General features: G+C 46.0%; 2 protein-coding genes across 9 annotated transcripts in view; one reads left to right on the top strand and one right to left on the bottom strand.

Moving 5' to 3' along the window:
* GPHN (gephyrin) overlaps nt 1-12,700 on the bottom strand; it is a 1,227,209-nt gene that overhangs the window by 222,533 nt on the left and 991,976 nt on the right. The window lies entirely within an intron of this gene.
* The window catches only part of TMEM229B (transmembrane protein 229B), a 63,582-nt gene that overhangs the window by 21,028 nt on the left and 29,854 nt on the right, over nt 1-12,700 (top strand). For 2 of the 8 annotated variants that reach the window (NM_001348549.2, NM_001348544.2), the window contains exon 2: nt 9,272-9,336. The exons of 5 other annotated variants lie outside the window; for them this stretch is intronic. The gene's annotated coding sequence lies outside the window, so the exon portion shown is untranslated. Of the gene's footprint in view, nt 1-9,141; nt 9,337-12,700 lie in introns of those variants that run through there. One more of the 8 variants, XM_047431037.1, reaches the window with a different exon arrangement.

Raw genomic sequence — 12,700 nt, 5'->3', positions numbered from 1 at the left:
TCCCAGGATGGCTTGGAGCTCCTTCCTGGTGGGCTTTTTCCTGGTGTACAGTTTCCAGCTAGAATGTTAGTGACTGTCACCTTCCAGTTTCTGAGGAGGGTCTCCGATGATGTTGGGGACTCTGATGTCATAAGGAAAGACCTGGGTAAGGGCAGTAGAGTGAGGCAGCTTGGTCTTATCGGCAACTGTATCAGATCTGGCTGTCCTTGAGGGGAGGGAAGGGATAGCTAACCCTCCCAGAGCCTGGCTGTTTTCAAGTTTGTATGCTTTTACTTTTCTCCTCCCCCATCTCCCTACCTCCCATATACAGACAAGGTGGTCTGGGTGTATTTTTGAATTGCAGGAACATTCCTTTTAAGGCAAGGATAATTTCTGACCTGGCAAAGCCTTAGCTCCCTTTGTGGCAACACCTGGCTAAGGAGGGAATATCAGACAGGATTCTCATGTTCTGAGCTGAGGAATTTCAGCCTCTATTGGCCAGATCTTCTTCTTACTCTACATCACTTCTCAGAAATCAGGCTTTGTATTTGAAAAGTAAAGTGTAAGCTGATTTCTAGGGAAGGGGTAGGAGGGGGGCACTTTTGGTTTGGTTCCCCTTAGGGAAACTGAGTCCCACTGAGAGTTGTCACACTGGCTGTGGTGTGTGAGAATGCATGTGTTGGGGAAATTTTCCTTTCCTGGGATTTAAGAGCATTTAAAATCAAGTACCCGAGTAGATCCATAGGTTATACTTTTCTGCTATAAGATAAAGATGCACTCAGAATTTACGTACCAGAATTTACATCAGTACCAGGGTGTTTGGTTCAAGACGTATATTTGCCTCAGACTTTGAGCTGTGGGATGCCCCATGCTGCTGTGATTCAAGGAAAAGGCAGTGGTTTTCACCCCGACACACACATCCACAGATAGAACTGAGGCTAAGTCAACCATCACATTTCCAAGATGGAAAAGAGGGTTTGCTCCTTTCCCTGTTTTCCCATTCATCAGGCTGCATTTATACCCAGTGTGGCCTTCGGCTCTCCTCCCCTGTGAGGCTATACTTCATGCTCATTTTAACATCAGTTCCCCTATGTATAAATGTAGTGGAGCGGAGGTCACAGAGTGATGCTGGCCCCCTGCTCCTTCAAAGGATGGTTCTGAAAGGCGACTTTCCACCCTCCTCTGATTTTGGTGCTTCCACTTACCTTTGGATCACAATCCAGTCTGGCAATTTGAGGAACAACCAAAGTCATTGACAATTCATGTTTTTGAACATCCAGCTTTTCACCATCCTTTACTCTGCTGGCTTCCCAGTAGGGAGTTTAATATTTTTTTCGGGATTCTCGGCTCCCAGTGTGGCTGGTATTATAGAAGAGACAGCATCTTTGAAATGAGGGCAAACCATCTACACGGACAGGTCTCGGGTCCTCAGATTGCTCCTTCCGGCTGCTCCATCTTCTAGAAGCATGACAGTTTTTTTTGTTTTTTTGTTTTTTTAAATAAGACTTCAGCTGTCAATTAATGTAGGGAGAGCTAATAAATATGAAAAGATGAGGGGAGAGATCACTTTCTGCCATTCCTTTGCTTTCCAAAAGCCCCTCATTCAGAACATACTGGATTATCCACTTCTGACTGCTTTTGCAGTTAGACTTGAATGACGAATGCCATCTAGCTGGCCCATTCATTCATTGTTTCCTTTCAGTTATTAAGAGGCACCCCTGTCACATGAGCTTCTGGAATGATCCGTTTCCATTGGAAAGGTCACTCACCCTGAGTTTTAGTAAGGCCTTGACATCAGCCCTGAGGAGCTAGGGATGCCAGCCAAGGAGATTGAAGGGCCACAAAGAGAGGATTCTTTTCTAGACTTCTGAGGGGTGATTCATGCTTCAAGATAAAATGTGCTTCCTGGGGCTCCATGGTTTCATTGCTTGCACAGTCAGTGGAGGGACAGGCCCTGGTGCAGCGAGAAGCCCACCTTGCTGACAATAACTGCCATTCTTCAGAGCACCGACAGGGACTTGTTTTTAGCCCACTGACAACCCCCATCTCCTTTTTCATTGCTGTCCTTGGCCAAACCCCATTTTAGTCCCTAAGTCCTTAGTATCTCTCTTCCCCTTGTTCCCAATCAAAAAGGCCTGTTCAAAGCCAGGAATAAGGCAGCCAGAGCATTGGTCTTACTTTCATCTACTTTCTTAAAACACACATGGACAAGAAATATCATTACCACTGGGCAACACAAGCAGCGGTTCCAGATTTTTGTCTTGTTTTCTTTTTCTTTTTCTTTTAGTTTGGCATAAGCAATGAGATGACCTTCTTATACTGACCTATAGATGCTATAAAGCTTTCATATAGCCTGCACAGTTTCTAACACATGGTGAGTGCTTATTAAATCACCAGCTGTGGTACTTGGATGTGATCAGATACCCCGATTTCTAGGTCATTGGGCAATGATTCGTCTGTGTGTGAGCTGATGGTTGGCAAAGGCTTCAGGAATCAGGAAATCTGGGATCCCTCCCTGACTCACTCACTTGTGTGACCTTGGACAGCCCATTTCAGCCCTCTGAGACTTAATTCCACAAATAGAGCTTCAGCTGGCTTCAGTGATCATGGCAATAATAATGACAATCACCATTTATTAGGCTAAGCATTTACATATGTTCTTTTCTCATATCAATGAGATAGCTACTATTAATTATCCCCATCTCACAGCTGGAAACACTGAGGCTCTGCAAGATAAAGTGATCACCCATATCATACAGCTAGTAAGTGTCTAAACTGGGATTTGAATTGAGATCTATCTGATTCTTTTTTTTTTTAATAAAAAAATTTTTTTAGAGACGGGTTCTCTCTCTGTTGCTCAGGCTTTAGTGCAGTGGCACAATCATAGCTCACTGCAGCCTTGAACTCCTGGGTTCAAGTGATCCTCCTGCCTCAGCCTCCCTAGGACTACAGGCATGTGCCACCATACCTAGCTACTTTTAAAATTGTTTATATGGAGACAGAGTCTTTATAACTCGCTATGTTGCACAGGCTGGTCTCAAACTCCTGGCCTCAAGCAATCCTCCTGCCTCAGCCTCCCAAAGTGCTGGGATTACAGGGATAAGCCACATCTCCCAGCCAGTCTGAATCTATTGTGTTTTATAAGCTTGGATCAGATAATAGACCAAATGTTGGGGAGAGGGTAAAAGTGGAGGCAGTATAGGTTAACACATAAAAAGGAGAATTGACCAGGTGCGGTGGCTCATGCCTGTAATCCCAGCACTTTAGGAGGCCGAGGTGGGTGGATCACCTGAGGTCAGGAGTTCAAGACCAGCCTGAGCAACATGGTGAAACCCCATCTCTACTAAAAACACAAAAATTAGCTGTGCATGGCGGCTCGTGCCTGTAGTCCCAGCTACTTGGGAGGCTGAGGCAGGAGAATCGCTTGAACCTGGGAGGTGGAGGTTGCAGTGAGCAGAGATCATGCCATTGCACTCCAGCTTGGACAACAAGAGTGAAACTCCGTCTCAAAAAAAAAAAGAGAGAGTTGATGTGGATTAAACACAACTAGTTAAAAGGAGACAGAAGTACAGATTCTTGTTTGAAAAACATCATCTCAATGAATGTTCAGTAAGGAGAGGTCTGTACCCTGCAGTAGGGAAGTAGACCAGATGGCCTGGGAGTTACTGTAAAGGGAACACGCTTTCTGCTTGGCATAGGAATACATCTCATAAACCCCATTTCATTTTGAAACCAAAATTTTCCTCTTGCTTAACGGTCTGTTTGGGCAACATTTTTATTTCTGTTGTCCTACTGCCACTAGTCATAGAAGCTTATCTTTGCAGATTCTTGACCCCAATCCTCATCCTCCAACCTAGTTTCTGGGCCTTTCCCTGCCCATCATTATAATTCAGCTGTGGAGACCTGATTATGACTCTGGGGTCCCAGCTACACTGAGCAAAGTACAGCAAACATGAGATTATTCTGTTCTTCTGAGAAAATATTTATAGCCACTGATTTCTCCATTCAAAGGTGACCAGCTAGTAGATTGGGATCCATTCTTGTTTGTTCCAAGCAAGTTAATTGTCTTCTGTTTTTTTTTTTTTTTTTTGAGACAAGGTTTTGCTCTGTCACCCAGGCTGGAGTGCAGTGGCACAATCCCAGCTCAATGAAGCCTCTATCCCTCTATCTCCTGGGCTCAAGGGATCCTCTAGCCTCAGCCTTCCAAGTAGCTGGGACTACAGGTGCAGAACTACACCTGGCCTCTTCCACCATTTTGAAGTATTCATGGAAGAGGAATGAGGGTTAAGGTGGTGGTCCAAGGAAGGTGAGCTGACCCCTCTTGGAGAGCTAGCGTGAGGCTGTATGATGGAACAGTGTGCAAGGGGTCAGGAGACTTGGGTTCTCCTCACAGCTCAGTGACTCTGGGCGTGTGATGCAAGTTTTTTGGCTTTTAGTTTTCTTATCATTTGGACAAGATATTCTCTAACCTCTCTTCAGGTAATAATGCTAGATGATCCAGCCTTTCCTGAGAAAGGCTGAGGTTCCAGCCTTTTTCAGGAAATAACTCAGCTGGTCTGGAACTGTCAGAAGTCAGAGTTGGGAGGGAAGAGATGGTGTTGAAGGAGAAAGAAGTCAAACTGGAAGCTAAGGAACAAAGTCAGAGCTGGAGGAAGTCCCTTCTCAAGAAGGGGGACTAGGACCAGTCATTGCTCTTTTTTTTTTTTTTGAGATGGAGTTTAGCTCTTGCTGCCCAGGCTGGAGTGCAATGTGACTTCGGCTCACAGCAAACTCCACCTCCCGGGTTCAAGCAATTCTCCTGCCTCAGCCTCCCGAGTAGCTGGGATTAGAGGCATGCGCCCCCACGTCCGGCTAATTTTGTATTTTTAGTAGAGACAGGGTTTCTCCATGTTGGTCAGGCTGGTCTGGAACTCCCAACCTCAGGTGAACTGCCGGCCTCAGCCTCCCAAAGTGCTGGGACTACAGGCGTGAGCCAACATGCCCAGCCCAGTCATTGCTCTTTTAACCGCTTCAGTGGGGCAGCTGAGAGGTGGTGTCTGTACACCCTTATACTCACCATTCCTATGTCATGGGGAGCAACCTTTATGTCTTGTCTTAAAACTTAAACTGAGCCAGGCAGGGTGGCTCACACCTGTAATCCTAGCACTTTGGGAGATGGAAACAGGAGAATCACTTGCCAGTTCAAGACTAGCCTAGGCAACACAGTGAGACCTTGTCTTTACACAAAATTAGTTGGACATGGTGGCGCATGTCTGTACTCCCAGTTCCTTGGGAGGCTGAGGTGGGAGGATCACTTAAGCCTGGGAGGTCGAGGCTGCAATGAGCTGTGACCACACCACTGCACTCCAGCTTGGACAAAAGACCGAGACCCTGGGGACTCCAGGGTCTGCTTCAGTCCAGGATTCTTCCCCCTATCCCTGCTCCTCTGCCACTTGGGTCTCCAGAACTTGAGGTCTCTGGTTGATGTTTTTTTGTTTTTGTTTTTGTTTATTTTAGAGACAGGATGTTGTTCTGTCACCCAGGCTGGAGTGCAGTGGCATAATCATAGCTCACTGTAGCCTTGAACTCCTGGGTTCAAGCAATCCTCCCACTTCAGCCTCCCAAGTAGCTAGGACTGTAGTTGCACCACCTATATTAGCACCTGGCTAATTTAGCTGGTGCTTTCTGGGCAACTCAGTGTTAGCGAGAGTATAACCCCCTCTGTTGCCCTAACTACCTGAAAGGGCAAGGCTAAACCATATACTCAGCCCAGGAACTCAGGGACCACGTCTTCTTTGTTCATGGAATTGGGCTATGGCTAGGCTATCTTCAGTTCCCTTTGAACAAGGCTTTTTCTTTTTCTTTCTTTCCTTTTTTGTTTTTAGATGGAATCTGGCCCTGTCGCCAGGCTGGAATGCAGTGGCACGATCTCAGCTCACTGCAACCTTTGCCTCCTGTGTTCAAGCCATTCTCCTGCCTCAGCCTCCTGAGTAGCTGGGACTACAGGTGCATGCCACCACCCCCAGCTAAGTTTTGTATTTTTAGTAGAGATGGAGTTTCACCACGTTGGCCAGGATGGTCTCGATCTCTTTACTTCATGATCTGCCTGCCTTGGCCTCCCAAAGTGTTGGGATTACAGGCATGAGCCACCACTCCTGGCCCAAACAAAGCCATTTTCTAAGGACCCTTGGATTCTTTCATTCCTTCTATTTTCATTTCATCATATTCAAGGTTGAGGAGCAAATGAGTTCCCACTGAACCCACCAAACCAATATTTTCCATCCCTACCTGTCTTACATTTTCCTCACCTCTTATTCCCCTATCCCCATTATTTTTATGGGGGGTACCATGCTACTGGGGGGATGAGAGATGATTTCATTTGGTACAAGGACAAACATTTCATTTTAATAGCTATGTTTCTAATGAGTGTAAAGAAACATGACTCATTGGAATGTACTCATCAAGCAACTTAATTTTGCCTCCCACTGTCTCTTTATGTTTATCCAGTGGGATTAGTTCTTTCCCTGGTCTAGGGTGAAAACTTAGGCCCTGTAACTTTTCTGGTTATTCATAGGAGACGGTTCTGTGATCACTTTAAGTCTTACAAGCATAGTCTCAACTAGGTACAAAATACACCCGCTTTATGAAGCAGAGTCCCATGGAAAAAACTAAAAAATAAAATAAAATAAAAATACATCCACTCCTTTGTCACTGGACTGGGAGGGGCAGGAAAGTGCTCACTGGGTACACTCTGCTGGCTTCCAGCTTCCTGGTCCATATTTTTATCGGATTCTCAGAGAACTCTCCTTACCCTCCCAATTGCTGGGATGTCTCACTTCTATTGTCTTGAAAAGAACAAATTATCAGCCAGGTGAGGTGGCTCACACCTGTAATCCCAACACTTTGGGAGGCTGAGATGGACGGATACCCAAGGTCAGGAGTTCGAGACCAGCCTGGCCAACATGGTGGAAACCCTGTCGCTACTAAAAATACAAAAATTAGATAGGCATGGTGGCGGGCGCCTGTAATCCCAGGGAGGCTGATGCAGGAGAATTGCTTGAACCCTGGAGGCAGAGGTTGCAGTGAGCTGAGATCGCACCACTGCATACCAGCCTGGGCAACAGAGCAAGAATCTGTTTAAAAAAAAAAAAAAAGAGCAAATTATCCTCTATTCTAGATCATTGCTCCTTCCTCAGCCCCTGAAATCCAGTGGTTCACCTCTAGCCTCTTTCAGCTAAGGTCCTTCAGTCTGCCCAAGAGACCATCTCAGAGAAGACCTGCTCTGACCTCATGCCAGCCCACATTAGTGCATGTGGCCCACATTAGTTCAAGGAAACAATCACACATCCCTGGGCACAGTGAACCTGGGAAGGCAGGCTGACCCCAGCTCAGCAGTCTCCCTTGGCTCCTCCAACAGCAGATGGCCAACGTGTGTCCCACCCTTTGGATGTCTCAAGAGGTGATCAGATGCCAGTCCACCATGTCCTCCCAGTTGCAGGGGACAGACATCAAGTTTCCTGAGTGGTCCTGGTGAATTCCCCTCTCACCAGCTTGACAGGAGGGCCAGTTTTCTATGGGGACAGGGTGAGATATCACAGCACACTAACAGCAACCCCAAAATTCCTCCACAAAGATTTTTCCCCAGTCTCTGCCCATTCTGACCCTCTATACCCTCAGCTTGAGAGAGGGGCCCTTGCGCACCTCTTTTGAAAATGCGCATCCTTCTTTGGTGTCACACTTACGAGCATTATACCTGTTGCATCTTGGTGCACCTTGGTGTTCATCTGGAAAGTGATGCAGCTACTCATTTGAGTCAATTTGCTGATTAATTCCTATAGCTGCTTTGACTGGATGTTTTAAAACTTTAAAAAATATCCAAACGCACTTGGGAAATCATAAAAGCAACACAGCAATGCACAATAAAGGAATCTAAAGTGTTCTATTGTGTTTTTGTTTTTGTTTTTGTTTTGTTTTGTTTGAGACGGAGTGTCGCTCTTGTTGCCCTGATTGGAGTGCAATGGTGAGATCTCAGCTCACCTGCAACCTCTGCCTCTCAAGTTCAAGAGATTCTCCTGCCTCAGACTCCCGAGTAGCTGGGATTATGGGCACCCGCCACCACGCCCAGATAATTTTTGTATTTTTAGTAGAGACAGGGTTTCACCAAGTTGGCCAGGCTGGTCTTGAACTCCTGACCTCGTGATCCACCCACCTCGGCCTCCCAAAGTGCTGGGATTACAGGTGTGAGCCACCGCACATGGCCTATTGTTTTTTATTTATTTTTTTGATTTAACATCTTGTTATATGTGTATCATCAAAACCATCATTGTCACAATAAGCCCATGATTTTGTGGATATTATTGCTTAGAACAAGGCTACAGTACATATATAACTGAAAAAAAAACTGACTTAAATGAAAAGGTTAGTGACAACAACTGACATTTATTGGTAGCTTATAATGCCAGGTTGCTGTTTGTAGTACAGTAAACATGCTTTCTCACTTAATCCTCATGAGGAACGTACTTATATTTTCTCTATTTTACAAACAAACTGAGCCTGGGCACGGTGGCTCACGCCTGCAACCCCAGCACTTTGGGAGGCTGAGGTAAGCGCATCACTTGAGGTCAGAAGTCCGAGACCAACCTGGCCAACACAGTGAAACCTCATCTCTACTAAAAATACAAAAATTATCTGGGCATGGTGGTGGGCGCCTGTAATCCCAGCTACTCAGGAGGTTGAGGCAGGAGAATCGCTTGAACCCAGGAGGCAGAGGCTGCAGTGAGCCGAGATCGCACGACTGCACTCCAGCCTGGGTGACAGAGCGAGATCCTGTCTCAAAAATAATAAAAATAAAAATTAAAAAATAGGCTGGGCACAGTGGCTCACGCCTGTAATCCCAGCACTTTGGGAAGCTGAGGCAGGCAGATCACGAGGTCAGGAGTTCAAGACCAGCCTGGCCAACATGGTGAAACCCTGTCTCTACTAAAAATACAAAAATTAACCAGGCATGGTGGTGAGCACCTGTAATCCCAGCTACTCGGGAGGCTGAGGCAGGAGAATTGCTTGAACCCAGGAGGTGGAGGTTGCAGTGAGCTGAGATCGCACGACTGTACTCCAGCCTGGGTGACAGAGCTAGACTCTGTCTCAAAAATAAATAAATAAAAAATAAAAATAATTTAAAAAAAGTAAGCTGAGGCAGAGAGGTGAAGCAGCATGTCCAAGTCACATAATTGGTGTCAAAGCTGGGATTTGAATGGAAAGAATCTGACTCCAGAGTGTGGACTTTTAAACTGCTACCCTCTGTCATTTCCCGCAGGGCAGTGGGCAGCCATGCCGAGTCATGAAGGTGGCATGCAGGGATGGGAAATGCTGCCTTAGGAGGTAATTGACGTCCTTTGCCCTGTCATTCAAGCTCTCCATAGCCTTTACACGCTTTTCCAAACGTATCTCCCCAGCGCCCCCAGGAAATCCTTCTATGCCCTTTCCTAGAGCCTAATCCACTTGCACAACTAATCTGGCATACACACGCCCACCCCTGCTTCAGTTGTTCCACTGCCTGAAGGGCACTCACCTGCCTTGCTGCCTACCCAAACTGTAGTCCTTTTAGAAGCCAGAGACCATCTCTGCTGCAAGTTTGTTTAACCAAAACCACTTCTGTTAGGATCTTTTAACTCCTCTTGTCATTTTGTCACCAGGTCACAATTATTATGTGCTTTTATGCAAAGGACAGTGAACAACAGTTGGCAAACACAGATCCTGATCTCTCCGTGCAGCGCCACTATCTGCTTGTTAGCGTGCGGTTATCTGCTTGTCTGCTAACTTACGCAAGGCTCTCAACTTCCCTGAACATTGGTTTCATCTTTAAAGTGTGTGTCCGGATGATATCCCTTCAGTTTTTAATATTCCATGGTTGTTTTGCTTACCATATTGTCTCCACTAATTTTTAAGCTCCCAAAGGCTGGAACTTTGTTTTGTAAATCTTAATACATTTCAGGACCCTGTACAAGGTTTTACACACAGAAAGTATTTAATAAAGTTGGTTGGTTGGCTGCTGGGAAATAAGCCCTGTGGTCACTCTGCTTTGGCCTTGACTGACCTTTAGAAATCACCTTCTGGGGCCCGGCGCGGTGGCTCACGCCTATAATCCCAGCACTTTGGGAGGCCATGGTGGGTGGATCACCTGAGGTCGGGAGTTTGAGACCAGCCTGACCAACATGGAGGAATGCCGTCTCTACTAAAAGTACAAAATTAGCCAGGCGTGGTGGCACATGGCTGTAATCCCAGCTACTCAGGAGGCTAAGGCAGGAGAATTGCTTGAATCTCGGAGGCGGAGGTTGCAGTGAGCTGAGATCATGCCATTGCACTCTAGCCTGGACAACAAAGCAAAACTCAGTCTCAAAAAAAAAAAAAAGAAATCACCTTCTGGGTGATCACCAGCAAGGACTTTGCAGTTCTTTTTTCAGCACAAGTTTATAACAAAAGTTTGGGTCCTATCTGTTGCATTTTTTTCTTTTTTTTTCTTTCTTTTCTTTTTTTTGAGATGGAGTCTCACTCTGTTGCCCAGGCTGGAGTACAATGGCACGATCTCGGCTCACTGCAACCTCCACCTCCCAGGTTCAAGTGATTCTCCTGCCTCAGCCTCCCGAGTAGCTGGGACTACAGGCGCATGCCACCATACCCAGCTAATTTTTGTATTTTTAGTAGACAGGGTTTCTCCATGTTGGTCAGGTTGGTCTCAAACTCCCGACCTCAGGTGATCCACCCACCTTGGCCTCCCAAAGTGTTGGTATTACAAGTGTGAGCCACAGTGCCCAGTCTGTTGCCTTTTTTCTTTAGGAGACCTAACGTCATGCTATTAAGGCCCACAGTCCTTTATCTGCAATTTTGAAATCTGAAGCACTATAAAACCAAAAGATTTTCTTTCACTCAAGTGACAGAAGAATCTGACTTGGTCTAACAGAGGCTCACATTGCACAGTATGAATATTCGTAGATGTCACCATAGAAACGTGAATGTGCTTGATTAGTGGGTGCTGCCCCAGACCCTGCTGTGAGGATTATGTAATTTATGATATGTGCTCTACATTACCTTTTAAAAAATCTTTAGAATTCTGAATTCCAAGGCTCTTAGATAGGGGACTTTGGTGCTATACGACCTTCCTCAACAGAGATGCCTTTGGCACTGGAGCAGGACAGGTCTTTGGGCTCTTCAAACATAACAGAACCTCACCTGGGACCCTGCCTCATTGGCCTGTCCCTAATCTCAGCCCTGGCTCCAATATAACTATAGCCTGTGGCCATGGCTTACCAACTTGATTTTTTAAAATATCATTTATCTTGGCTGGGTGCAGCAGTTCATGCCTGTAATCCCAGCACTTTGGGAGGCTGATGTGGGAGGATCACTTGAGCCCAGGAGGTCGAGGCTGCAGTGACCTATGATCATGCCACTGCACTCCAGCCTGGCCAACAGAGCAAGATCCTGTCTCAAAAATAAATAAATAAAAATAATAAGGTATCGTTTATCTTGATTACTAAATATTTTGGCACTCCCTTAAATTTTGTGTCTGAGCTGAGTGCATGTCTTGTCTCACCCTAGTTCTAGCCTGTGAGACAATCCCTCCGTTTCTCCTAACTCCACTGCCATGACTCTGGGATGAACTGATGTGTCCTCAGGGCAGGGAGTACCTGCTGGAGGTTTGCATTTCGTTCAAGCTAGTTGGGACCTGTTGCCCCTAGGCCAAGTTAGCTCATGCAGAGCAGCTGGCTCCTAGAGGCATTTTCTTTATTATTATTATTATTATTATTATTATTATTATTATTATTAACCCCCAAGTATACCTGGAGGCATTTTCTATACCTGGATGTTTCTTTGGATCCCAAATGAACCTTGTTCTTCTACTTTCATCTGGAAGATGATGCAGCTACTCATTTGAGTCAATTTGCGATTAATTCTTATAGCTGCTTTGACTGGATGTTTTAAAACTTTAAAAAATATCCAGGCCAGGCGCGGTGGCTCATGCCTGTAATCCTAGCACTTTGGAAGGCCGAGGCGGGCGGATCACAAGTTCAGGAGATCGAGACCATCCTGGCTAACACGGTGAAACCCCGTCTCTAGTAAAAATACAAAAAATTAGCCGGGCGTGGTGGCGGGCGCCTGTAGTCTCAGCTACTCGGGAAGCTGAGACAGGAGAATGGCATGAACCTGGGAGGTGGAGGTTGCAGTGAGCCGAGATCGCGCCACTGCACTCCAGCCTGGGGGACAGAGCGAGACTCCATCTCAAAAAAAAAAAAAAAATCCAAATGCACATGGAAAATCATAAAAGCAACACAGAAACGCACAATAAAGGAATCTAAAGTGTTCTATTGTGTTTTTGTTTTTGTTTTGTTTTGTTTGAGATGGAGTGTCACTCTTGTTGCCCTGATTGGAGTGCAATGGTGAGAGCTCAGCTCACCTGCAACCTCTGCCTCTCGGGTTCAAGAGATTCTCCTGTCTCAGCCTCCCGAGTAGCTGGGATTACAGGCGCCCGCCACCATGCCCAGCTAATTTTTGTATTTTTAGTAGAGACAAGGTTTCACCATGTTGGCCAGGCTGGTCTTGAACTCCTGATCTCGTGATCCACCCACCTCGGCCTCCCAAAGTGCTGGGATTACAGGTATAAGCCACCGCATATGGCCTATTGTTTTCTATTTATTTATTTATTTTAAGAGACAGGGTCTCACTCTGTTGCCCAGGCTGGAGTGCAGTG

The sequence above is a fragment of the Homo sapiens genome, chromosome 14, assembly GCF_000001405.40.
Source record: "Homo sapiens chromosome 14, GRCh38.p14 Primary Assembly".
Classification (NCBI taxonomy): domain Eukaryota; kingdom Metazoa; phylum Chordata; class Mammalia; order Primates; family Hominidae; genus Homo; species Homo sapiens.
The sequence above is the reverse complement of the archived record's forward strand: the minus strand, read 5'-3'. Positions and strand labels throughout refer to the sequence as shown.